The 27,296-nt window shown below is 37.4% G+C and overlaps 1 long non-coding RNA gene across 1 annotated transcript; it reads right to left on the bottom strand.

The window, feature by feature from the left end:
- Window positions 1–10,628: 10,628 nt before the first annotated feature.
- Window positions 10,629–20,128, bottom strand: LOC105376009 (uncharacterized). The gene is made up of 3 exons (XR_929539.2): window positions 20,044–20,128; window positions 17,013–17,158; window positions 10,629–11,587 (listed from the first exon to the last, which is right to left on the bottom strand). It is a non-coding gene; the product is annotated as an uncharacterized LOC105376009 (long non-coding RNA).
- Window positions 20,129–27,296: the final 7,168 nt, after the last annotated feature.

The raw sequence follows: 27,296 nt of genomic DNA on the forward strand, positions 1-27,296 counted from the left end.
GGTGATCATGTCAAGGTAGGTTTATATCTGTTATAACTAGTTACTAAATCAATGAACCTACACACTGTAGGTCCTTTGTTAATGCTTATTCTTACAGATGATAATTAATCTTCTTGGATCTATCCTTGTTTGCAACTTGATAACAACTCTAGTGGGGTGTTAAGCACTCTCAAAGTAGTATAGGCATTCTCAGTAATATGGTAATGCCAGTCACATTTCTTACTGTGAAATAAATGAACAAAGAAAATCACTGGGTGTCTGTCCAATTATTTCTACATTCTAATGCTTTGTAGGAACGCTATCTCTTCTGAATTACTCTTAGAAGCTTTTTGCAATCTGAGGAATCCGACCATTTGTTTTTGTGGTATTTGTGACAAATATTACATTAGCCAAAATCTTGTTCTGTATACAAATGGCACCTTATAGCAAAAGCAAACTTTCTGGTATTAAAACATAATAATCTTATTCTGGAATTTAATGAGTAATTTTATTTGGAATTGGAACAGATGGGTAAAAACAGAGCAAGCAGATTCTTCTGGCTGATTGTTACATGTAACAAGGTAAAATTTTCTTCATTTCTCTGAATATTCTTTTAGTGATGAATGTCATGCCAATTGGCATAAAATTCCAGTTTTTATTTTTGAAGCTGTGGTGTTAATGTAATCATTAGTTAGGCTGCTTTCAAAAACTTAAAAACAATAATATAATTCTAGACATTTCTAAATAATTATGTTAAATAATTCCTTATGCTAATCTCATCAATCTTCTTACTCAAGTGTCAAGACAGAAAGATCTGTGAGGCTGTTCTAAAACTTTTGGGAAACCTTCCAGGCTCTTAGCCTTGGAGTAATGCTCCTATGCACACTAGCTCAAAATAAGCATCCCTCCAGTATACCCCTGATGTCTCATGCCTTGACTATCCTTTGTTCAGCCTCTTTGATGTAAATTATCAGTGGTTTCTAGTCAGAATATCAGTCTTTGCCTTGTCACTGGACACTCTAGTTTTTTCTTAGAAAAATGTATTTACAGTCATATGCCACACAATGATGTTGTGATCAGTGATGGACCGTACATACTAAAATGGAGCTGAAACATTCCCATTGTCTAATGACAATGTGGCTGTCATAAAATCATTGCACAGTTACTATATTTTTCATAAATTTAGTGTAGGCTAGTGTCCAGTGTTTATAAAGTCTACTGTAGTGTGTAGTAATAACCTAGGCCTTCACATTCACTCACTGCTCCCTCACTGACACCCAGAACAACTTCCAGTCCTGCAAGCTCCATTCATGGGAAGTGCCCGGTATAGTTGTACCATTTTTTATCTTTAATATCCTATTTTTTTAATTTAATACCATATTTTTAGTATTCCCTTTTTATGTTTTGATATGTATAGATACACAAATATATACTATTGTGTTACAATTGCCTATAGCATCCAGTACAGTAACATGCTGCATAGGTGTGTGTGTAGCCTAGGAGCAATAGGCTGTACCATATAGCCTAGATGTGTAGTGGGCTATGCCATCTAGGTTTGTGTAAGTACACACTGTGATACGGCACAATAATTAAATCACCTAATGATGAATTTCTCAGAATGTGCCTTTGTTAAGCCATGCGCACAACCATATTTGATTTTACAATTTCTTCTTTAGCCAATGTCAAAAAAATACTCTATCTAGATCGTCTTCTTGAATTTTTGCTCAGCAAAGAGATCTTTCAGTCTTTGTCCAGGATTGGTGTTGGGGCTTTAATTCAGAGGGTTTTCTAGTAGGCTAAAATGAAGTTAATAATGAACACAATATTTAAACTTTCTGTTATTTTTCTTTATTTTAGTACTAGCTTTTCAACATTATAAACAAAACTTGTGAATGTTTTATATTAGTAGATTATAAGTTCTGTTTGATGATACTACAGCCCAGTTGTCTTCAAAGTGTGACTTGGAACCCTATCAAGGGGTCAATGAAATTAGTGCCATTTTCATAATTATACTAAAATATTATTTTTTGTTTTTACTATCACTCTTTCACTATAGAGCAAAATTCCCCAAGAACTACATAACATATATTACTGCAATAGATTGAATACAGAAGAGGAAATGATAATTGAATAAAATAAAGTTATATTTTAAAAAGGCCACTCTGTTTACCATTTTTAGTGTGAAAATATATTTTATAAAATTGTTTATTTTGTTAAAATGAATGAGTTTATCTTTGTCATACAAAGTTAACAATTAAATATATATGTATTTAATTTTCCAGTTTTAATATTGACTATAATAAATAACAAATATATCACATACAAGCCAAAGATCTTGGGCTCTCAATAATTTTTAAGACTCTAAAACTGTTCTTAGAAGAAAATTTGAGCACTACTACTCTTGTATACAATTTAAATTGCATCACTAATTGATAAATACTTCTAATAAGTAACAGTTTTTCCTTGCAACTGAAATGAGAAGCAGAGTGACTAAGTTCCAAAAACTGATTAGTGTTCAGGTTGTCAATGTAACCCAGCAATATAAATTCTGATTGAGCTTTTCTCCAGCAAATTACAATGGGTTAGTAACAGGGTATAAATTATAGCTTAATAAAGAAACAGTGGTATGTAAACTTAGGCTAATTATGTAAACATGGAAAATTCATTTGCAAATTAGTGATAAAGATGAATTAGAATTAATAAATACTCTTCAGTATCATCTAAATTAACACATGAAGTTATACTTCATGACTGTTTCTTTAAGAAATAACTAGCCCTAGAATTCTTAAATCTAGGACTATGCATGGGCACATAGGAAAATCCATTCTACTTTGCACTAAAGACAGTGCATACTTTCTTATGGAGCCTCTTCATTCAGGTAACTCATACTTCTTTTCAAATTAGGTGTATTTGGAGCACAGCAGAATGACTACTTACAACTCAATATAGGCAAATTTCACTTATCTAATTTGTCAGCACCTTCACAAAGTAGTCAATAAATCAGCCCCTTTTGAATCTGTTAGTCTGATATTTCCTGACAGTCTCATTCTGAAGCTTAGTTCCTGGACATTTAGAAACCTAGGCCAGCGTAACATGCCAGCCCTAAATATTGTCATTATCATGCTAGGAAAAGCATCTTGCAAAGAGAAAATCAAATTTCTGGATGTGGGAAAATGAAGCTATTCACAAAGAAAATACATGTGTCTTGGAGAAAGGGAGGGGATTATTTTTATATAGAATTAAAGCACTCATAAGTAGAAACAAAAAGCTCTCATCTTTTAATTTTCCACAGCAGGATCTGTCTGTCATTTCACGTAGGTTGCTTCTCATACAAATAATACGGTAGACATGCTGTGAAAGGTTTGCATGGGTCATCTATTTTTGTAAAAATCCTCAGTTTCTCAGTAAGAAAAAAATATGATTGTGAAATTTTTTTAAGTTAAAATGCATATGTATTACATGGCTACCATTAAATATGATTAATGTAGAAGGGAATATGAATGCAGTAATAGGAATTGGTTAAAAAGGCCAACTATTTTTGTGGTATTGCTGAAAACTAAACCTTAAACGATTTTTTAAAATACAGTTCAGGAAGGACTTCACTGAGCCCAGAGCTTGGTGTTTTAGATTGAATGTATATTTTGGAATTGGAATGTTTGAATTGAAAATCTCAGGTCAGCAATGTTTACAAGTGGGGCAACTATCACAAATTACTTACTATGGATATTTTCCATCCTCCTTCCTTCCTTCTTTCCTTCCTACTCCTTACCCTCTTCTCTTTCTTTTATTGGTACAATGGGATTACAACATTGAATCACTTGGGTATTGAATATGTTCATTATTCATAAATGCCAGCATCATTTTCTTTTTTTGTCTTCCTACCTGTCTTCCTTCTGGCCTTCCTCCATTCATTTTTTCCTCTAATTATGTAAGGTCGCGCTATTTTAGTCTTCTTACCCTCATTTTCTTGATTTGCTAAAATCAAAATACTAACACTTACCTTAAAGAAATGCTGTGATTATCATACTGGCTAAATACATTTGTGCTTCCTATCTTCCTGTCAACAGTCTTATGTGCCTGGGAAAAGTGTCAATGCTGACAGAGTTGGGTGCAATGAATAAGATTACAGTCTTCTAAGCCACCTTTGTTCACTAGGGGCTTATTGAGCTGATCCTTTCCCCTCTTAATAGCCTATTTGCTTGATTTACTTAGCCCTTTCCAACTCAATTCCAAAACACTTAACCTTTGAAAAAGATGAGGCCAAAATAAAATCTGGAATAAGAATTTCTATTTTTTGCCCAGCTAAACATCTGTTTCCCATTAGTTACTGAAGTCTATGATTTTAAAGCAGTTGCTTGATATCATTCTCTAAATTATCACAAATTTCAACTTATCATGGTTTGCATTAATATTCTGCTATAGATATTATACTTATGTCCAAGGCAAAAATCATCATAAAGATGCAATAAATGTATTTTGCAAAATGGGATTATTATGGATAAGAAGTCCTTTGATTAGTACTTTGTTTTTGAAAAATATCTAGATTAAGTTGTTTCTTCACATTATTTGATTTTTGTGTGTGTGAAGAATTTTCAAAATTAATCTCTGATTTTATGAGTATACAGGTGGCAATCAAATGGGAACAGCAATTTCCACCCTTATGTCCTGGATGCTGCTCTGCTTGCTGGTGTTAGGATCATTACCAACCTCTCGAAGTGCCATCATTATATCTCTTTCTACTGACTATGCCAGCAGCAATCTGTGCAAGCAGTAAAGCTCAGAATACTCACCCTCATTTTCAGGCTCCATGGAAACCTGAAGAGAGTGGGATCCCTTTACTGAGCACAGGTGCCCTCTTTGGCCCCTTCTATTTAATTGAATGTTATCTACCTACTTGTATATAATAGGGGATGAAATTAGAAATGTAACAACACCTGGAAATGTTTTATTGAGTATATATTTATTTGTAAATTCTTTATCAACATCTGTAAAAGAGCTCATTTAAACGATTTTTTGTTTTAAATCTAATATGGGTTAAAATGACAAAATGATAATGTCGTGTATTTCCATTTTAATTATTTTTTGCCACAGTGATTCAAGGTATCCCTCATGCTGTATGAATTCAATTCTAACAAATATTCTAATTTCATCCCTAATATCTTTTGTCAGGAACTAAATCTAATAGTCACTCCTTACTTTTATGAGGCATAATCTTTATTCTTTATACTGTTTTAAATCTCAGATAATAAATATGATTAAATATATAAAAGCCCTATGCTTTCTCTATTTATCCATAATTCTCCTCCTTACTTCTAAAGGTTGTGTTTCTGTAGAGTTTCTATCTAATACAATTATGATAATGGTTCTATCGTTTAAAGGAAGAAAGAAACATCAAATAAAAAAGAAATCAAAGACATAACATTTAAAATGGAAGATGTTAATCTGTCCTCACTAACATAAAATATGTATTCATATTCACACACACACAAACACACACACAGACACACACACACAACTACTGGAACAAATATATGAGAGTACCAAAGTTGCAGGACACAAGGCTAACACATTAAAATAAGTTATCATTTAAATACTAGCAATTAACAATTTGAAATCCCCAAATCACGTAAAAAATAATGAAACATTTAGAAACAAACTTAACAAAAGGAGTGCAAGACTTGGCACTGAAAACTACAAAATATTGCTGAGAAAAATTAAAGATGATTTAAATTAATGGAGGGACATTCTATATTCACAGATGGGAAAATTCAATATTGTTAACAGTTCTTCCTAATTGATTACTATATTCAGCACATTATTTATTAAAAACCAAAGCAGGTTTTGCTTGTTGTTCTGGTTGTTATTTAGATTGGCACACTGAATTAAAAATGTATGTGAATTAATTAAAATAGCAATGAGACACCAATAACACCTATTAGAATGGCCAAAACCTAAAACACTGAAAACATCAAATGCTGATGAGAATTTTGAGCAACAGACATTCTCATTCATTTTTGGTAGAAACGCAAAATCATATAGCCACTTTGGAAGACAGTTTGGCATTTTCTTCCAAAAGTAAACATATTCTACCATACAAGCTGGCAATTTCACACCTTGTCATTTACCCAAATGAGTTAAAAATTTATGTTCACAAAAATCCTGAACATGGATATTTATAACACTTTATTCCTAATTGCCAAAACTTGGGAGCAACCAAGTTCTTTCAGCAGGAGAATGGCTAAATGAGCTGGTACACATCCAGGCAATAGAATATTATTCAGTGCTAAAATGAAATGAGCTACCAAGCCATGAAAAGACATAGAGGAAACTTAAATGCATATTAATAAGTGAAAGAAGTTGATCTGAAAATATGCATATGGTATGATTCCAACTATATGACATTCTAGAAAAGAGAAAATGATTAAGAGAGCAAAAAGATCCAGAGGTTAGGAGGAGAGAGGGATAAGTAAGCAGAGCAAAGAGAATTTTTAGGCTATCAAGAATATTCTATATGATACTATGTTGGTAGATACATATAAATTTACCCCAAACTTCTAGAATATACAACACCCAAGAATTAACCCTAACCTAGAGATATTAGATGATAATGATGTTATCAATACAGTTTCATCAATTGTAAACACTGTACCACTCTGGTGGGAAATATTGATAATGGGGAAGGGCTATGTATGTTGGGGGGCAGTGGCTATATGGGAAATCACTTTACCTTCATTGCTCAAGTTTGCTGTGAACCTAAAACTGGTCTAAAGGTAAAGTCTATTTTTTTTTGAGGTCTCTATTCTGTTCCATTGGTCTAATTAGAGCAAACAGGCAACCTAGAGAATGGGAGAAAATTTTTGCAATCTACCCTTCTGACAAAGGTCTAATATCCAGAATTTACAAGAAATTTAAGCAAATTTACAAGAAAAAACAAATAACCCCATCAAAAAGTGGGCAAAGGACATGAACAGACATTTCTCAAAAGAAGACATTTACGTGGCCAACAAACATATGAAAAAAAGCTCAACATCACTGATCATTAGAAAAATTAAAATCAAAATCACAGTAAGATACCATCTCACACCAGCCAGAATGGCAATTATTAAAAAGTCAAGAAACAACAGATACTGACGAGGATATGGAGAAATAGAATGCCTTATACACTGTTGGTGGGAATATAAATTAGTTTAACCATTCTGGAAGACAGTGTGGCAATTCCTCAAGGATCTAGCACCAGAAACACCATTCAACCCAGCAATACCATTTGACCCAGCAATCCCATTACTGGGTATATACCCAAAGGAATATAAATCATTCTATTATAAAGATATATGCACATGTATCTTTATTGCAGCACTATTCACAATAGCAAAGATATGGAACCAACCCAAATGCCCATCAATGATAGACTAGATGAAGAAAATGTGGTACACATACACGATGGAATACTATGCAGCTATAAAAAGGAATGAGATCATGTCCTTTGCAGGGACGTAGATGAGCCTGGAAGCTATCATCCTCAGCAAACTAACACAGGAACAGAAAACCAAGCACCGCATGTTCTCACTCATAAGTGGGAGGTGAACAATGAGAACACATGGACACAGGGAGAAGAAAAACACACATTGGGACCTGTCTAGGGGAGTTAGGGGAGGAAGAGCATCAGGACAAATAGCTAATGCACGTAGGGCTGAATACCTAGGTGATGGCTTGATAGGTGCAGCCAACCACTATGGCACATGTTTACCTATGTAACAAACCTACACATTCTGCACATGTATCCAAGAACTCAAATTTTTTTTTAAAAGGGAGAAATGAGGTATATACCTAAGAACACAGATGTATATGTGAATTTTCATAGCAGCATTTTTTTCATTATACCCACAAATTGAATACACTCTCTCAACTCGAGATGAGAATAAAAACAATGTTTTGTATGTATGTATACAATGGAATACTATTGGGCATTAAAAACAAATGAAATACTGGTACATGGTTACTTCATGGATGAATGCCAAAATATTGTGTAAGTGGAGGATCCTACATGGAATTTACATAGTATGCCCAATAATGGGAAATAACTTGGGGCACAAATCAGACACTCATGTTGTTGCAAAGAATCTAGTTTCATTCTCTTTTTGTGTTTGTGTGGTATTCCATGATGTATTTGTACATTTTCTTTATCCAATCCACCACTGATGGGCACCTAGATTGATTCCATGATTTGATTTATTTTTTAAAATATATCTTTAGTGTTTGTTCATCTTATTTTTTTCCATTTTATTTTCAATTCAGGGAGTACATATACAGTTTTATTACTTGTATAACAATCTAGGGTACAAATGATCCCGCCACCCAGGTACTGAGCATAGTACCCAACAGTTCGATTTTCAGATTTTGCCCCACTCCTTCCCTTCCCCGTCTCCAGTTTTTGTTGTTGCCGTCTTTACGTTCTTAGTACTCAATGTCTCCAGTTTTTGTCGTTGCCATCTTTATGTTCCTCAGTACTCAATGTTTAGCTCCCACTTATAATTGAGAACATGCAGTATTTGATTTTCTGTTTCTGCATTACTTTGCTTAGAATAATGGCTTCCAGTTGCATCCATGTTGTTGCAAAGGACATAATTTCATCTTTTTTGTGGTTGTGTGGTATTCCATGGTGTATATGTACATTTTCTTTATCTATTCCACCATCGATGGGCACCTAGGTTGATTCCATGTCTTTGCTCTTGTGAATGGTGCTGCGATATGAGTGCATGTATCTTTTTGGTAGAACAATTTGTTCTCTTTTTGATATATAACCAGTAATGGGATTGCTAGGTTGAATAGTAGTTATGTTTTAAGTTCTTTGAGAAATATCTGAACTGCTTTCCATGGTGGCTGAAGTAGTTTACATTCCCACCATGGAACTGAGAGTGGGAAAGTATTGTTTGCAAGTGGGTACAATGGAACATTTTGGGGATGAGCGAAGTGTTCTAAAACTTGCTGTGCTGATGGTTGCAGAGTTCAATATATTTACTAAAAATTATTAAGTCACACATATTAGGTGAAATTAATGGCTTATAAATTATATATCACTAAACTTGCCTAAAATGAATTAAAGACACGAGTAAGACAAAAATTTAAAAAACCCTTATAAAACAAACAGTACCATAAACATACATTTAAAAAATAGCAACCTGGGAAAACACTTAAAATATATATGGCATATGATAAACAAATGATATCATTAATGTATAAAATCAACAAAACATCAGAGATATCCAAGATATAAAATAGATACGGTGATTGCATAAAAATAGAATTAGCTTTGAACTCTCAGAACGGCAGCACACTTTCCAACATTGCTCTCTTTTTCACCTTTCCATCCTCTCAGTTTCTCTGCTAGGAAACCAAAATGGTATGAAGTTGGTCAATTATGTTTATCAAATCCTCTTAAGTGGTAGACCTTATTTTAGAGACTTGGGATAGAATAATGAACAAAATATAAAGAGACCATTCTTAAAAAAATTACTCAGTTATCCTTTATTGTCAATACAGATGATAGATACGTGAATTAAGATTACTTTACATCTTAATTAATGTTGTGTAAGTCAAATAGTATAGTGTTATAGGAAATCCCTGGGTGTATTGCTTTTACCAAGGTGATTGCAAAAGATCTCCATGAGAAGGTAATATTAAAATTTGGGGACAGCCTTAAAATTGGAGGGATAGGGTGGAAAATGAAGGAAATGGGGCTGCAAAAACTCTTAGTAGGGGTTGAATTTCGTTTATGTCAAGCATTTCTGAGGTTAGTGAATGCAGGGCAGGATGAAAGGGAATAAACTGGAGACAGCTTATGTGGAACATCACATGGCTTATGAGGCTATTAAGACATTTTAGTAATGAGACTGTTAAGACAGATTTTATTCTGTTTACTTTTAGAAAGTCAAAGAAAAATTATCAAAACTTTGAAAAATCTCTTGGTTACAAAATGGCTTTCTTTCCTTTCCTTTCTTATTAATTGAGATATTATTAGCTAAGCTAACATCAGGAAAAAAATATTAGGCTCTGCTGGTAATCAGTGGCATTGATTGGGAAAGGATTCAGGATTTTAGATGTTGACTTTGGTTTATAAGCTGTAAGTGTGTATGTGTGTACGTGTTTTTGTGTGTGCATATATAAGTGCACATGTGTGTGTTTATATACTTATATTTATAAAATATATACAGCAGGTCCTCAACCTCATATTGTTCAACGTTATTAAGATAGAATGTTTATGATAAAAAATATCGTCTTCAGCTGTGGCCACTGTCTTCGTGAAGTTTGAACCTTCTCCTTATCTTTGCATGGGCATTACCCAAGTACTTATATTTCCTTCCACATCCCAAAGATATGCACATTCAGTTAATTGGACGAGTGTCTAAATTGTCCCCACATGTAAGAATGTGGAAGTGTGTGAGAGTATACTCTGCAATGGGATAGTGTCCTGTCCAGGATTGGTTTCTCTTGTGTCTCGAATTGCCTGGTTAGGCTCTGGCCACCCACAATTCTGAACTGAAATAATTGGGTAAATAATCATCCTACTTGCTTTTATTTATCTTTCTTAAATATATGTATAGCTCCCATTTATTTCAGTGTTAAATATTAGAAGGCTTTCACCTTTATTTAGAAGTTTCATGATGTTTTTTGACTAGAAATATGCCGGAGTAACTTGACTCTTCTTTATATCAATCAGCCTGTAGTAAATTCGTTTCATTATACAACACTTCACTTAAAGTCACAGTTTCCAAGACCCATTGATGACACTAAGTGAGTACTTACTGTATATTTATTAGGTATATATGCAAGATTATATAATGTCATAAATACATAAGATACAAATATACACAAGATACATACATATACATAATACATGCATATGCTGTGGTGGTCACTGAGTGTCTGAGGCCGGCACATAGGTGATAAAAGAATTTACTAAGACAGTAATGAGTTTAGAAAGGCAGATTTGTTTCGAGAAAAGGGGAAAATATGTTGCAAGAGAGCAGTAGGCAAGACAGCAGAGGGAAAGCTGCCTGCAAAGAGGCAGGGGCTGGAGGAAAATTTTTTAAGGTCGTGCTGCTTAAGCTGAGTACTTGCAGACAGCATGCAGGTGGGCTGTGAGCTAGGTGCTTGTAAAAGGATGCTTAGATGCTAGTGAGCCATTTGAGGTTGACCCTGTTTCTTAGAACATTTGCTCCCCTCTACCCTGTTTCTGTTCCTGCCAGCAAAACCCATTTTTCAATTTTCTTTTAACTCCTTAGGGCTACACATTTCCCTCCTGACAGAACAACAGTGACAAATCTGTGCTATTTGGGTAGAGGTCTCATCTTCCAACTACTTTCTGCTACCCTGGGCATAGAACTGACCATTCCTAAGGTTGTTGGCTTGTCAGGGGATGCTCTGAGTCATTGTCTTGGGTTATGGTACTTAAATTGTTGGGCATAGCTGGAGGATGGGACTCAGGGAGAAGAGGATGTCCATAAGGAACTGACGTCCAGCGAAGTCTAAAGGAGAATCGTGGAGGTGTCTGGGTATCATTGGCTGATACTCTTGCATCCTTAGAAGCTTGGTGTGCAACTGCTGCATTCTGGAAGAAACAAATTTAACCAGGGTAAGTTAGAGACAGGGAGTTGGGGTATGAAATAAAACTGCCTGAAGGGGGAGCCTGGCTGCCACTTTTACTTATTTGTCAGCCCCGTTGTTCTTAATGAAGATTTCATCATTGTTCTTCTGATAGGCTTTGCAGTGAAAGATACTGCCTGTGTAGGAAGTATAATTGCCTCCAATAGGGCCATAAATTCAGGAGCATGTTTAATTAGAGTATCTTGGGCTGTTAAAAATCCTCTTTTCCAGCAAATAGCATCATGAGCATGTACTACATGAAAGCATGGGCTGAGTCTGTAAATTTTAAGCCTCATGCCTGCTCCCAATTGTAAGGCTAGAGTTAGAGCAATGAGTACTGAATTCTGGGCTGAGGTGGTGCCTGATTTTTCTATTAGGGGCTGTATTAGTCCGTTTTCACACTGCTGATAAAGTCATACCAGCGACTGGGCAATTTACAAAAGAAAGATGTTAACTGAACTTACAGTTCCGCCTGGCTGGGGAAGGTCTCACAATCATGGAAGAGGGTGAAAGACACTTCTTACATGGTGGCAGCAAGAGAGAATGAGGGAGAAGCAAAAGCAGAACCCCCTGATAAACCCATCAGAGCTCATGAGACTTATTCACTATCACGAGAATAGCATGGGAAAGACCAGCCACTATGATTCAATTACCTCCCCCTGGGTCCCTCCCACAACATGTGGGAATTCTGGGAGATAAAATTCAAGTTGAGATTTGGGTGGGGACACAGCCAAACCATATTATTCTGCCTCTGGCCCCTCCAAATCTCATGTCCTCCTATTTCAAAACCAATCATGCCTTCCCAACAGTTCCCCAAAGTCTTAACTCAATTCAGCATTAACCCAAAGTCCACAGTCCAAAGTCTCATCTGAAACAAGGCAAGTCCCTTCTGCCTATAAGCCTGTAAAATCAAAAACAGGTTAGTTACTTCCTAGATGCAATGGGGATACAGGCATTGGGTAAATATGGCCATTCCAAATGGGAGAAATTAGCCAAAACAAAGAAGTTACAGGCCCCATGCAATTCCAAAATCCAGCGGAGAAGTCAAATGTTAAAGTTTCAAATGATGTTTTTTGACTCCCCATCTTGCGTCCGGGTCATGCTGACGGAAGTGGTGGGTTTCCATGGTCCTGGGCAGCTCCACCCCTGAAGCTTTGCAGGGTACAGCCTCCCAGCTGCTTTCATGGGCTGATGTTGAGTGTCTGTGACTTTTCCAGGTGCACGGTGCAAGCTGTTGGTGGATCTAACATTCTGGGTTCAGGAGGATGGTAGGCCCCTTCTCACAGCTCCACTAGGCAGTGCACCAGTACGGACTCTGCATGGGGGCTTTGACCCCACATTTCCCTTTTGCACTGGACTAGAAGATGTTATCCATGAGGTTTCCCTACCTGCAGCAAACTTTTTCTTGGGCAACCAGGCATTTCCATACATCTTCTGAAATCTAGGCAGAGGTTCCCAAACCTCAATTCTTGGTTTCTGTGCACCTGCAGGCTCAACACCACATGGAAGCTCCCAAGGCTTGGGGCTTCCACCCTTTGAAGCCACAGCCCAAGCTGTACATTGGCCCCTTTCAGACATGGTTGGAGCAGCTGGGACACAGGGCATCAAGTTCCTAGGATGCCCATAGCACAGGGACCCTGGGCCTGGTCCACGAAACCAATTTTTCCTCCTGGGCCTCCTGGCCTGTGATGGGAGAGGCTGCTGTGAAGCTCTCTGACATGGCCTGGAGACATTTCCCCATGGTCTTGGGGATTAACATTAGGCTCCTTACTACTTACGCAAATTTCTACAGCCGGCTTGAATTTCTCCCCAGAAAAATGGGTTTTTCTTTTCTACTGCATCATCAGGCTACAAATTTTCTGAACTTTTATGCTCTGTTCCCCTTTTAAAATGGAATGCTTTTAACAGTACCCAGATCACCTCTTGAATGTTTGCTGCTTAGAAATTTCTTCTACCAGATACCCTAAATAATCTCTCTCAATTTCATAATTCCACAGATCTCTAGGGGAGGGGCAAAATGCCACCAGTCTCTTTGCTAAATCATAACAAGAGTCACTTTTGCTCCAGTTCCCAACAAGTTCCTCATCTCCATCTGAGACTACCTCAGCCTGGATTTATTGTCCATATCACTATAAGCATTTTGGGCAAAGCCATTCAACAAGTCTCTAGGAAGTTCCCAACTTTCCCACATTTTCCTATCTTCTTCTGAGCCCTTCAAACTTTTCCAATCTCTGTCTATTACCCAGTTCCAAAGTTGCTTCCACATTTTCAGTAATGTGCCACTCTACTGGTAACAATTTACTGTATTAGTCTGTTTTCATGCTGCTGATAAAGACATACCTAAGACTGGACAATTTACAAAAGAAAGAGGTTTAATTGGACTTACAGTTCCACCTGGCTGGGGAAGGTCTCACAGTCATGGCAGATGGCAAAAGGCACTTCTTACATGGTGGCAGCAAGAGAGAAGCAGCAAAAGTGGAAACCCCTGATGAACCCATCAGATCTTGTGAGACTTATTCACTATCATAAGACTAGTATGGGAGACTGGCCCCCATGATTCAGTTACCTCCCCCTGGGTCCCCCCTATGTTGGGTCTCTCCTACAACACACGGTACTTCTGGGAGATACAAGTCAAGTTGATATTTGGGTGGGGACATAGCCAAACTCTATCAGGAGCTGTAGGTCCATTTGGGCTTCAGGCTTCAAGGGATATTGGGGCTTCCTAGGGAAAATGTTAGAGCCCTTAAGATGGATTTTTACAGGGTCTGCAAACTAAGAACATCATGAAGTGGAGGTATCTCATACCTCTAGAATTTGTTGTTAAATGAAGGATTTTAGGGGATTGGCACTTTTGGTGGCAGGAGCTAGTAATGTTAATATTGGGCAAGTGTATTTGGGGAATTGAAAGCTAGTTTGGAGTTTTGTCATTATATCCCCTCTAAGTAGGTAGGTAGGACAGCTTGGTAGAACCAGGCAAGAGTAAGTGAAAACATGTTTCTCCAGCGTGCATAACAAGGGGGAAGTGAAGCGTCCCTGATGTGGTTGGCTGTCTATGCTGGTGTGGAGGATCAAAGACTAAAACGTAGGTCCGGAAAAACTAATTAGGGCTGAAGAAGTAGCTCCTATGTTGATTACAAACTCAGTCCTATTCCCTTCCACATTTAGGGTTACTCAAAGCTCAATCATAGAGATGGTTAATACAGGAGCCTGGATGGCCTCTGGGTCCCATCAGTTATCTCTTTCTGCCTTCTCAGTCTTATTAGCTTCCTCGTAGTTAAGGAACACCGTTAGGGGCATTTGTTGTTGCCATCCTCCCAAATTAGCCCATAATTGAGGTTGCTAGTTACGGGATGACTCTCCTGCGTGTGGGAGAGAGGGGCAATCCCATTTCCAATGCCTGGGTTGTTTGCAGTGTGGACAGGAGCTAATCGGTGGTCCCTGAGTGCCAGAAGATGGGTGGGGAGGGTTTTGACAGTTCTGGTGTTAAAGATCTTGAAAGCCATGTCCAGTAAAGTGGGGAATGGAGTTGTGGTCCTTGGTCTAGTCTCTGGGATTTGCACCTAATATCTGAAGAAGCCTCACTGATAAAATGAACAGTCAAATTAATGGGGCCTTCTGGGCTATGAGGGTTCATATTAGGGTATTTTCTCACGGCTTCAGCCAGCCTAGAGTGAAGTAGAGCTGAGTTTTCATTTGACCCCTGTGTTACCTCTTTTAGATTAGCAAAGTTGACTGGTCCTATGGCAGCCTTTTTTATGCCTACAATTAAATAAGTAGTCATTTAATTACTACGTTCCCTGCCAGTGTTTCCCTTCTGGTAGCCCTATCTAGGATCAACATCAGGAACTGCTGTTCTTCCCAGGCCAGACTCCTGAGGGTTGTGGGCAAGAACCTCCTGTGGCCACTCTTGAGCCAGGGACCAAATGGAGGCCTTTTCTTCATGAATACAACTGGTGGTAAAGATAATATAAATGTTCTGCCAAGTGTGTTCAAAGGAAACAGTATTTTGAATTCTTTTATGAAATGGGAAGCATCCTGCTGAAAGAAGCCAAGCTTAGCTTCTATCTGAGAGAGGTTGGACACTGGGAAAGGAACATGGACTCTGATGGTTCCTCAATCCCCATTTGCTATTTCTCCGAGCAGCAAAATCTTGACTGGGCTGAAGTGGGATCATAAGTGACCCCCATGTGATCTAGTATGTGAAGGGGAGAAGGGTCCCTAATAAAAGGAGGAGGCATTGAAAAATGACATCCAAAGTTGGGATGTTGGGGGAAAGTGAGGGAGAAAAAGCAGGTGGAGTAAGTATAGTTGAACATAAAGGTGATTTGTCAGGGAAAGAAGAAGGTTGAGAAGGGGTAGCCTCAACCAGGTCAGCCAGTCTGGGAGAGTGGAAGAGGGTAAAGGAAGGGTCTTTTAGAATGTCAGGAGAGTCAGTGGGGCTAGAGAATTTAGCCAAGAATATTTGCCAGGTTTGCTAGAGATCAAGATCCCAAGAGAGAGTCATGAAAGCCTGGACATAAGCAACTTCAGGCCATTTAGAAGAGTTGTGACACAGCAAATCGAGTTGCAAAAGAGTGTTAAGAATCTAAAGTCCCATTCAGAGTCCAGGTTAATTGATCCAGGAGTTTATACAGAGGCCAAAACATATTACACAGGACAATTAGGCATTTATTTTTGAGAGTCTGGGGGCCAAATTTATCCCAATGTTTTAGGATGCAAACCAGAGATTAGTTTGAAGGAATAGACAGGGTTTTTCCCGTGGTGGGACTGGAAAACGTCCTACCACTTGGGGCTAATGTCTGCTGGGGACACGAGCCACACTTTCTCTAGGGGTATCCCAAAAGAAAAAAAGTTCCACTCATTTCTGCTTAGGGACACTGAGATGCACTTTCCTAAGGGGCATCCCACCTATTTGAAGGATCTCCTGGTGCTGGGGTTGACAGTGCCGGGGCCTTACACTGGATGGCCAGTCCATTTACGAGGAACAAGGGTGAAGGGAGAACTCAAGACTGGAACCAGCTTAAAAGAGGGAACAGGAATGGGAAGACTCTGAGGCCACTTGAAATCACCTGATGTGGGAACTTCTAAAGCAGGAAGCCTGGATATCTTCACAGCAGAATTAGAATAAGAGAGAGAGAGTGTTTAAGTCACCCAAAACATGGGTGGATTTGCCCTAGATGAGCTGCCACTGCTAACTGCACCACACCTAGGGACTGGGGACCGAAAGGAGAGTCTTCCTCCCTTCTGGGCCAGTTGGCTAGCACTGTTTACCTCATAGCCTTCAGGCAACATCAGAGAGTAGTATGGGACAGATACTGTCAATTATAAGACAGCTACTAGAGGCTGGCTGCTGGCATGCTGAAAAAGGAAAGTGAACTTAGGTTCCTCACCTGAATGGGTGATGGTGGTAAGGCACTTCTGCACGAACACTTTTCAGCTTCACCACGTGTAGCCCTGACCAGAAACCTTCATTGTCTCTGTGCCTTGACACTGTCCATGGAGTATCCCAAGTAGAAAGGGAGTGGGGAGAGTGTTCCTGTAGGGAGAGATTTTTCATAGGGTAAGAGGTCCCCATAAGGGCCACCAAAATGTTGTGGTCAGTGACTGTCTGAGACCGGCACATGGGTGGTAAAAGAATTGACCATATCAAAAATGAGTTTAGAAAGATAGATTTATTTAGAGGAAAGCCAGAGATACATTGCAAAAGAGCAATGGGCAGGACAGCAGAGGGAAGGCTTTCTGGAAAGAGGCAGAGCTTGGAGGAAAATTTTATAAGATTTTGCTGCTTAGGCTGAATGCTTGCAGACAGGATGCTTGAGTATAGGTGGGCTATCAGCTGGGTGCTTGTAACAGGATGGTTGGATACTAGTGAGTTGTTCGCCATTGACACCATTTCTCAGGACATTTGTTCCCCTCCACCCCTTTTTCTGTTTCTGGCAGCCAAGCCCATTTTCCAATATGTCTATGAAAGTTTTATATAGGCCAGGCACAAAGGCTCATGCCTACAATCCCAGCACTTTGGGAGGCCGAGGCGGGCAGATCATGAGGTCAGGAGATTGAGACCATCCTGGCTAACACGATGAAACTCCGTCTCTACTAAAAATACAAAAAATTAGCCGGGCATGGTGGCATGCTCCCGTAGTCCCAGCTACTTGGGAGGCTGAGGCAGGAGAATTGCTTGAACCCGGGAGGTGGGGTTTGCAGTGAGCCAAGATTGCACCACTGTACTTCAGCCTGGGAGACAGAGTAAGACTCTGTCTCAAAAGAAAAAAAATTTTTTATATATATAAAAGATATACACACACACAAGATATATTAGAGGATGACCACTTCTTGTAGAAGAAAATGAAGCTTCCTGAACAAGACATGTGACAATTGACAAATAAGTCTCTCTTTACTTTCTAGGTCAGTATTTCCCTTCTTGTGCCCTGTACTTTTTGTTACAATAATAATGGACTTAAACTAATTTCCATTATGCACATAGTATGCTTTTAGGGGCCTGTATACCTTCATTTTCTTAAATGCTAAGTATTAATATTTTTGAAAGCAAAATTATTATAGAAGCAAAGAAACAAAAAATGGTTATCCCATAGGCAAAGCAGCTTTAATATTGCTAACTTGTTCTTATTACTCAAAATGATCTATAGATTCAATGCGACCTCTATCAAAATTCCAATGGCATTTTTCACAAAAATAAAAAAAATTCTAGAATTCATATGGAAATACAAAAGACTCCAAATAGCCAAAACAATCTTGAGAAAAAAGAACAAAGTTAGAGGTATCACACAGTTTGATTTCAAGATAAGCTACCAAGCTATATTTGTCAAAACAGTATGGTACTGGCATAAAAACATAATTATAGACCAATGGAACCTAATAGAGAGAATAGAAATAAATCTGCATATTTGCTGTTGATTGTTCTTCAACAAAGTAATCAAGAGCACACAATAGTGAAAAGACAATCTCTTCAACCAATGGTGTTGAGAAAACTGCATAACCACATGCAAAAGAATGAAATTGTATGCTTATTTCACCCTATATAAAAAAACAACCCAAAGTTAATTAAATAATACTAAGTAAGTTGGCTTTCCCCTCATAGCACTCTTAACCATCCTTTCAGATGTAGCTCAAGCATTACCTCCTATAAGATGATCTGTTTGATACCACTGTCTGAGGCAAACACTTGTTTTAGAGCTCATATGATGCCATATTTAGCTTTCTATCATTGTACATATTATATGGAAACAGCCCGTTCTCATTGGTTATCGTTGCTCATTGCAACTTAAAGTAGGAAACTTGTATTTTTTTTTCTCTTTGCATCTCCAGCCTCTGAACAGATTTCTGGCACATAGGATCTGCTCCCTTATTGTTTAATAAATAAGTGAATGATTAAATAAGTGACTCCCAGAGCATAGCTAGAGCAATAGGCATTGAGAAATTACATGTCAATATGAAGAGGAAAGTGATTTGTGGTTTCAAATGGAAAGTAAAATGTCATTATATTATTTGTACTCAATCCCCAAGAGAGTCATTTACCATTCATGCTTTGAACTTAAGTTAGCAACATAACTCTGATGGAGAACTGTGTGCCATGGCAAACACATGCTATTATTTGTGAATTATTTTACTTCCTCCATTGATAAGGTGGATTTATTTTATATAAGTATACCAATAAGAAACACATATATCTTTGGGGATCTAATATTTGCCATGCCCCCCACCTTCTTGAAGTTAAGTCTAGAAAATGCTGAATAATTTCTGCATCTTTGAAGTAAAAAAAAAAATTGTGGTATTACCAAATATTTTATATAATGTCTTCCCTATAAAAAAAAGAAATTTTCGTAACAGTTTCTAATTTGAACCTCTAGACATTAACTTAAGCTTGTGAGAAATTATTTAACAATAAAATTGTAAAATATGTAGTAAAATTGTCAATAACAAAAAAATAGTAATATCATGATCCATTAATTTTATTTATATTCATTACAATTTTCAGGACAGCTATGAGAAAACCATTATTGTAAGTGTTCTGTGAGGCATAGAAAGGCAACACCCCTTTTTATTTAATCAATAAACATTTCCATCATTTTTAGCAATTGAAGCAATTTATTCATAGAGATTAACCATGGAATGCAATCATAAAATTTGTTTTAAAAAACTAAATATTTTTATATTTTAGGCTTAATGTTGCATTTTACTTTAAATGTTAACAATATAATGCTGTAATTACTCAATAGGTTTGTAAATTTATACACACATGTATACACACAATGTAGATATATTGTATTTCTATGATTTGTCTTATAGTCTTATCAGAAAACTTCATCCTACTGCACAGCCATGGGGATGGAAACACATAAATAGGAAGGGTGAACTACGTTAAACCCAATCCAATAATTCACTCCAATAAAATAAAATTACCTTTTTAAATTCAACTTCTTTGAGGGGGAGGAAATAGTCATTTGTTTATATTTTCTTCCTTTCTTGCTTCTTTTCTTCAAGATGGAATACCTGTGTATAAGGAATAGAGGGGTTACCCAGTGGTGCTCAGGAAGTCTCACTTATATGTGTACAGGTCCGTGAACTCTATTCAGTTCCTCTGGTATCTATGCTTATATCCTGTGACCAGCTGACACTCACCATTTGGGAGTTCTGTGCTAATTTTTGCAGTTGTGACCTCTGTCAAAGAAAAATCTCACTGGTGGGAGTTAAACCCACAAAATAGATTATTCAAGACAATTGCAAAACGGGGTTGAGACCATTGCAATAGGGAAGAAACATTGAAACAAGAGGCAGAATTGTTTTCTTGTTTTTTTGTTTGTGTGTGTGTGTGTGTTTGTTTGTTTGTTTTTAGAGTCTAGGTCTTGCTCTGTCACCCAGGCTGGAGGGCAGTGGCTCAACTATGCCTCACTGCAGCTTCAAACTCCTGGGCTCCAGGGATCCTCCTGCCTCAGTCTCCCGAACAGCTGGGACTACAGGTACATGCTGACATGCCTGCCTATTTAAACAAATATTTTTAGAGATGTGGTCTCTCTATGTTTCCCAGGCTGGACTTGAACTCCTGGCCTCAAACAATTCCCCAGACTCAACCTCTCCAGTTGCTGAGATTACAGGCATGAGCTGCCTGACTCAGCTCAAGGCAGGATAATTTTTAAGTTCTAGGTGACCTAGTAAGAAAGTACTGGAGGGTCAATGTGGTAGGTTGGTCAATATGATTAGGCCATGTACATTTGCTCTTTGGACTTTATCAAAGTCAGGCTCCTACCCTCTCAAAGACTGTGAGTTAGGGGTGCAATCTTTCTTGAGAATTATATTACAAAGTGGGGCTGCCAGGTCATTGAGAAAAACATTCCTGGGTTGTAAAACTGGCCGGTGACTGAGAGAAGAACACTTATACCTCAAAGGGTATAAAAAGAATTTATAAGTGTGAGTTTTCTAAAGGAAGTGCTTTAAAGAAGGGAGATCTGGAGCCTACAGTCAGGAAACAATCTGTCCAAAGTTTATTCAAGCTGAGGGGAAAGCTAAGGCTACCTTGGTCACTTCAAGTTTTATTTTTTCTCAGATCTTTCAGGGCAAAAAAATGTTTATACTCTGTTGGTTTCCCTATTGATCTTACTCAGCTCTCTTCAGAGCTGCAGATTCCTCTGAGATCCAGCTTAGATTCCCATTCCACCTGCTGTCTCAGTATTCTTCTTTATAACCCTTGTAATCAGGGTCACTTTGCTCCTACTGCAGCAACGTCATTGAGAGCCTCACATCTGAAAACTTCTGAGTCCCTATATGCAACAAATACTGTTGTTGATACCTTGAGCACCTCAGAGACTTGAAGGAGGCTCTGAGAAATTTAGCTCAAGTTCTCCTTCTGCCTATTCATCTTGAGCTGTCAGTTTTACTGTGACGAATTCAACAAATATTGAGAGACTACCTTGATCCTTTAAGAGTTGTTCATGGAAAAGAAAGCAATAGTCCTTCCTTCCCCTGAAGTTTTCTCAATCCCTGCTGTTTCCCACTTAATCTTCCCACTGAGATTTTAACCCAGAGGTATGAAAACGTCACTTGTGTCTGTCTGATTAATTTGAGGAGGAAAAGAGAAAAGAAAATGCAAGAACAACAGATCTAAGAATGTTAAAATTTTCACGCACTACAAGATAAAATGTAATGTCTAAAACTGGTTAAAAATGTAGTTATATACATATTAAAATATGGAGAAAACTAGTAAAAGTAATCACTAAAATTATTTTAGGGATTGCCTCTGGGCAGCAGGGCAGACTGGAAGGTTTAAAGCTTGCTGAACTTAGTTTAGGCTTGTAGCAGTAGTGGCATGATTTTTTAAGTGTGCATGTATTATACTGATTAAAATAACAATTAAACCACCCTAGCTAGCCAGGTGAAGAATCTCTCATTGTAATCTAAGTAAAATATTTTATCCCAGGATTGATATTGACACACCTCTTCTGCTGAAACTTGATCTCTATACATTCATCCCATTTATCATTTTTACTTTTATCTAAATTATCAAAATTAGATTTGCCTCAGTTTTACTTCTGTTGTCTTGATTCTGGACAGGCTGTGTATTTGTGTGTGTGTGTGTGTGTGTGTGTGTGTGTGTGTGTGTGTGTAACGTGAAAAAATACTATACGTGTTTGTACATTTTGCTGGGTGTTTTTGTTCACATACTGTGTAGTATATAGACGGCTATATATAAGCACATTTGAGCTAACATTTTTCTTTATAAAGAACAACTAACATTAGGTTGTGAATATATCTTATTTACTGTATATTACTTCACCCTATATATGGGTTTTTGGTGTTTTGTTTTATTAAACCAAAAACCCACATATAAATGAAGTAGTATACAAGGTTTTTGTTTGTTTGTTTGTTTGTTTTTTCAGACGGAGTCCTGCTCTGTCTCCCAGGCTGGAGTGTAGTGGCGCGATCTCGGCTCACTGCAAGCTCCGCCTCCTGGGTTCATGCCATTCTCTTGCCTCAGCCTCCCTAGTAGCTGGGACTACAGGCACCCGCCACCACGCCCGGCTAATTTTTTGTATTTTGTTTAGTAGAGATGGGGTTTCACCATGTTAGCCAGGATGGTCTCGATCTCCTGACCTCGCGATCCACGCGTCTCGGCCTCCCAAAATGCTGGGATTACAGGTGTGAGCCACCGTGCCCAGCGTGTACAAGGTTTTTTAAAAAATCTCTTCAGAGTGTTACAGTTAACTTCATATTTCTTTATATGCATTTCAAATATATGCAAACATTAAAAATTCTAGAAGTGAAATTGTTAGTCAAAGAACAAGTGAAATTTCTAAATGTAGAGGATATTTTCTGATTGTCATTGATAACTGTACCAATCCACACTTCAATCAACAATATATTTTCACAATATTGATTTTACCCATCCATGAGCATGGTATGTGTTTCCATTTGTTTGTGTCTTCTATGATTTCTCTTCCAGTGCTTTGTAGCTTTCCTTGTAGAGGTCTTTCACCTCCTTGGTTAGGTATATTCCTAAGTATTTTATTTATTTATTTTTTGCAGCTATTATGAAAGGGGTTGAGTTTTTTATTTGATTCTCCTCTTGGTCACTGTTGGTGTATAGAAGAGCTAATGATTTGTTTACATTAATCTTGTATCCAGAAACTTTGCTGAATTCTTTTATCAGTTCTAGGAGATTTCTGGAGGAGTCCTTAGGGTTTTCAAGGCAAACGATCATATTGTCAGCAAACAGGGACAGTTTGATTTCCTCTTGACCGATTTGGATGCCTTTTATCTCTTTCTCTTGTCTGATTGCTGTGGCTAGGACTTCCAGTACTATGTTGAAGAGGAGTGGTGAGAATGGGCATCCTTGTCTTGTTCCAGTTCTCAGAGGGAATGCTTTCAACCTTTCCCCATTCACTATTAAGTTGGCTGTGGGTTTGTCATAGGTGGCTTTTATTACATTAAGGTATGTCTCTTGTATGCTGATTTTGCTGAGAGTTTTAATCATAACGGGATGCTAGATTTTGTCTATGGCTTTTTCTGCATCTATTGAGATGATCATGTGATTTTTGTTTTTAATTCTGATTATGCGGTAAATCACATTTATTGACTTGCATATGTTAAACCATCCCTGCGTCCCTGGTATGAAACCCACTTAATCATGGTGAATTATCTTTTTGATATGTTGTTGGATTCAGTTAGTTAGTATTTTGTTAAGGATTTTAGTATCTACGTTTATCAAGGATATTGGTCTGTAGTTTTCTTTTTTTGGTTGTGTCCTTTCCTGATTTGGGTATTAGGGTGATGCTGGCTTCATAGAATGAATTCGGGAGGGTTCTTTTTTTCTCTATTTTGTGGAAATGTTTCAAAAGGATTCTTCTTTGAATGTTTGGTAGAATTCTGCTGTGAATCCGTCTGGTCCTGGACTTTTTTTTTGGTTGGTAATTTTTTAATTAATATTTCAATCTCACTGCTTGTTATTGGTCTGTTCAGGGTATCTAATTCTTCCTGATTTAAGCTAGGAGGGTTGTATATTTCCAGGAATTTATCCATCTCTCATAGGTGTTCTAGTTTATGTATGTAAAGGTGGTTCATAGTAGCCTTGCATGATCTTTTGTATTTTGTGGTGTCAGTTGTAATATCTCCTGTTTCATTTCCCAGTCTGGTAATTTGGATTTTCTCTCTTCTTTTCTTGGTCTATCAATCAAATATTCTTTTCAAAGAACCAGCTTTTTTTTCATTTCTTTTGTACTTTTTTCCTGTTTTTTTTTTTTCAATTTCGTTTAGTTCTGATCTGATCTTAGTTATTTCCTTTCTTCTACTGGGTTTGGGTTTGGTTTTTTCTTGTTTCTCTAGTTCCTTGAGGTGTGACCTTAGGTTGTCTATTTGTGCTCTTTCAGACTTTTTGATGTAGGCGTTTAGGGCTATGAACTTTCCTCTTAGCACCACCTTAACTGTATCCCAGAACGCAATCCCCATCAAAATACCACCATCATTCTTCACAGAGTTAGAAAAAACAATTCTAAAATTCATATGGAATCAAAACAGAGCCCGCAGAGCCAGAGCAAGACTAAGCAAAAAGAACTAATCTGGAGGCATCACACTACCTGATTTCAAACTATACTATAAGGCCATAGTCACCAAAACATCATGGTACTGGTATAAAAATAGGCACATACACCAATGGAACAAAATAGAGAACTCAGAAATAAACCCAAATACTTAAAGTCAACTGATGTTTGACAAAGCAAACAAAAACATAAAGTGGGGAAAGGACACCCTTTTCATCATATGATGCTGGGATAATTGGCTAGCCACATGTAGAATAATGAAACTGGATCCTCATCTCTCACCTTATGCAAAAATCAACTCACGATGGATTAAGGACTTAAACCTAAGACCTGAAACTGTAAAAATTCTAGAACATAACATAGGAAAAATCCTTCTAGACATTGGCTTAGGAAAGAATTTCATGACCAAAAACCCAAAAGCGATTACAATAAAAACAAAGATAAATAGCTAGGTTCTAATTAAACTACTTTTGAACAGCAAAAGGAACAGTCAGCAGAGTAAGCAGACAACCCACAGAGTCGGAAAAAATTTTCAAAATCTATACATCTGACAAAGGACTAATATCCATGGAAAAAAATCAGTAAGATAAAAACAATCCCATCAAAAAGCGAGCTAAGGACATCAATAGACAATTCTCAAAAGAAGATATATAAACTGCCAACAAAACATACGAAAAAATGCTCAACATCACTAATGATCAGGGAAATGCGAATCAAAACCACAATGTGATACGACCTTATTCCTGTAAGAAAGGCCATAATCAAAAAATCAAAAACAGCAGATGTTGGTGTGGATGCGGCAATCAGGGAACACTTCTACACTGCTGTGGGAATGTAAACTAGTACAGCTGCTATGGAAAACAGCACGGAGACTCCTTGAAGAACTGAAAGTAGAACTACCATTAGATCCAGCAATCCCACTACTGGGTATTTACCCAGAGGAAAAGAAGTCATTATTTGAAAATGATACTTGCACATGTTTATAACACCACAATTCACAATAGGAAAATCGTGGAACCAACCCAAATGCCCATCAATCAGTGGATAAAGGAACTCTGATATATATATATACACATACATACATACATATATATATACATATATATATACACACATATACATACATATATATCAGATATATATATATATCTGAGATATATATAGATATTCCAAAATATATATATTCCGATATATATGTATATTCCGATATATATATATATATTCCATATATGATGGAATACTGCTAAGCCATAAAAAGGAATGAATTAACAGCATTTGCAGTGACCTGGATGAGATTGGAGACTATTATTCCAGGTGAAATAACTCAGGAATGGAAAACCAAACATCGTATGTTCTCAGTGATATGTGGGAGCTAAGCTGTGAGGACGCAAAGGCATAAGAATGATACAATGGAGTTTAGGGACTTGGGGAGGTGGAAGGGGGGTGAGGGATAAAAGACAACAAATATGGGGCGGTGTATACTGCTCCGGTGATGGGTGCACCAGGTTTTCAAAAATCTCCACTAAAGAACTTACTTATATAACCAAATACCACCTGTACTCCAATAACTTACAGAAAAATAAAATTAAAACAAAACAACAAAACAAAAACAGTAGGTAAGAGCTGAGCGTGGTACTTCAAGCCTGTAATCCCAGCACTTTGGGAGTTTGAGGCGGATGGATTACTTGAGGCTAGGAGTTTGAGACTAGCCTGGCCAACCTGGCAAAATCCTGTCTCTACTAAAAATGCAAAACAAACAAACAAAAAACAAAACAAACAACAACAACAAAAAACAGGGCGTGATAGCACATGCCTGTAATCCCAGCTACTTGGGAGGCTGAGACTCAAGAATTGCTTGAACCCAGGAGGCGGAGATTGCAGTGAATGGAGATCATGCCACTGCACTCCAGCCTGGGCAAAAGAGCAATACTCTGTTTCAAAAAAGAAAGAAAGAAAGAGAGAGAGAGAGAGAGAGAAAGAAGGAGAAAACTAGTATATAAGAATTCCTGCCTATTTTCTCACCCTCACTGCTGCTAGGAAACATATAAATATATGGCCATCTGAGAGCTGAAAATAGTATCTCTTTTGTATTTACTTATTTATGAGTGAAGTTAAGAACTTTTACTACCTTTATTAGCTATATTTGTTCCTATGAACTGTTCACTCATATCATTTATTAGGTTGTGTAAGTTCCATTAATTTCAAAGCCTTGTTAAAGTACCATGTTTAATGTCATTTCTTTCTTTCTTATAGTTCTCTATTTTTTTTTCCACATTGACCTATATGCCTATGTTTTTTTCCTAGTTAAACAGCTTTCATCTATTTTATGTCAAGTGAAGCAAATTTCCTTTATTTTTTTCCTTATTGTCATTGCCTGGAAATCTTTCAGGAAATCATTAATATTGGGATTAAAATTATTATTTTTATACTCAAGATTCCTGAAATGTTTATATAAACAATGATTTTTCTTCTACTTTTCTGACTCATCTGCACTGGTGCATTATTGCAATCATGTCCCGGGAGGAAAATGAAGTTGAAGAAAATTCAACATCATCATAATAATTGGACAAATCAAAATATGTCACATCAGCTAGCCAAATGAACAGTAATACAGTACTCTGCTGC

Source organism: Homo sapiens, chromosome 9 (assembly GCF_000001405.40).
Source record: "Homo sapiens chromosome 9, GRCh38.p14 Primary Assembly".
NCBI classification, from domain to species: Eukaryota; Metazoa; Chordata; class Mammalia; order Primates; family Hominidae; genus Homo; species Homo sapiens.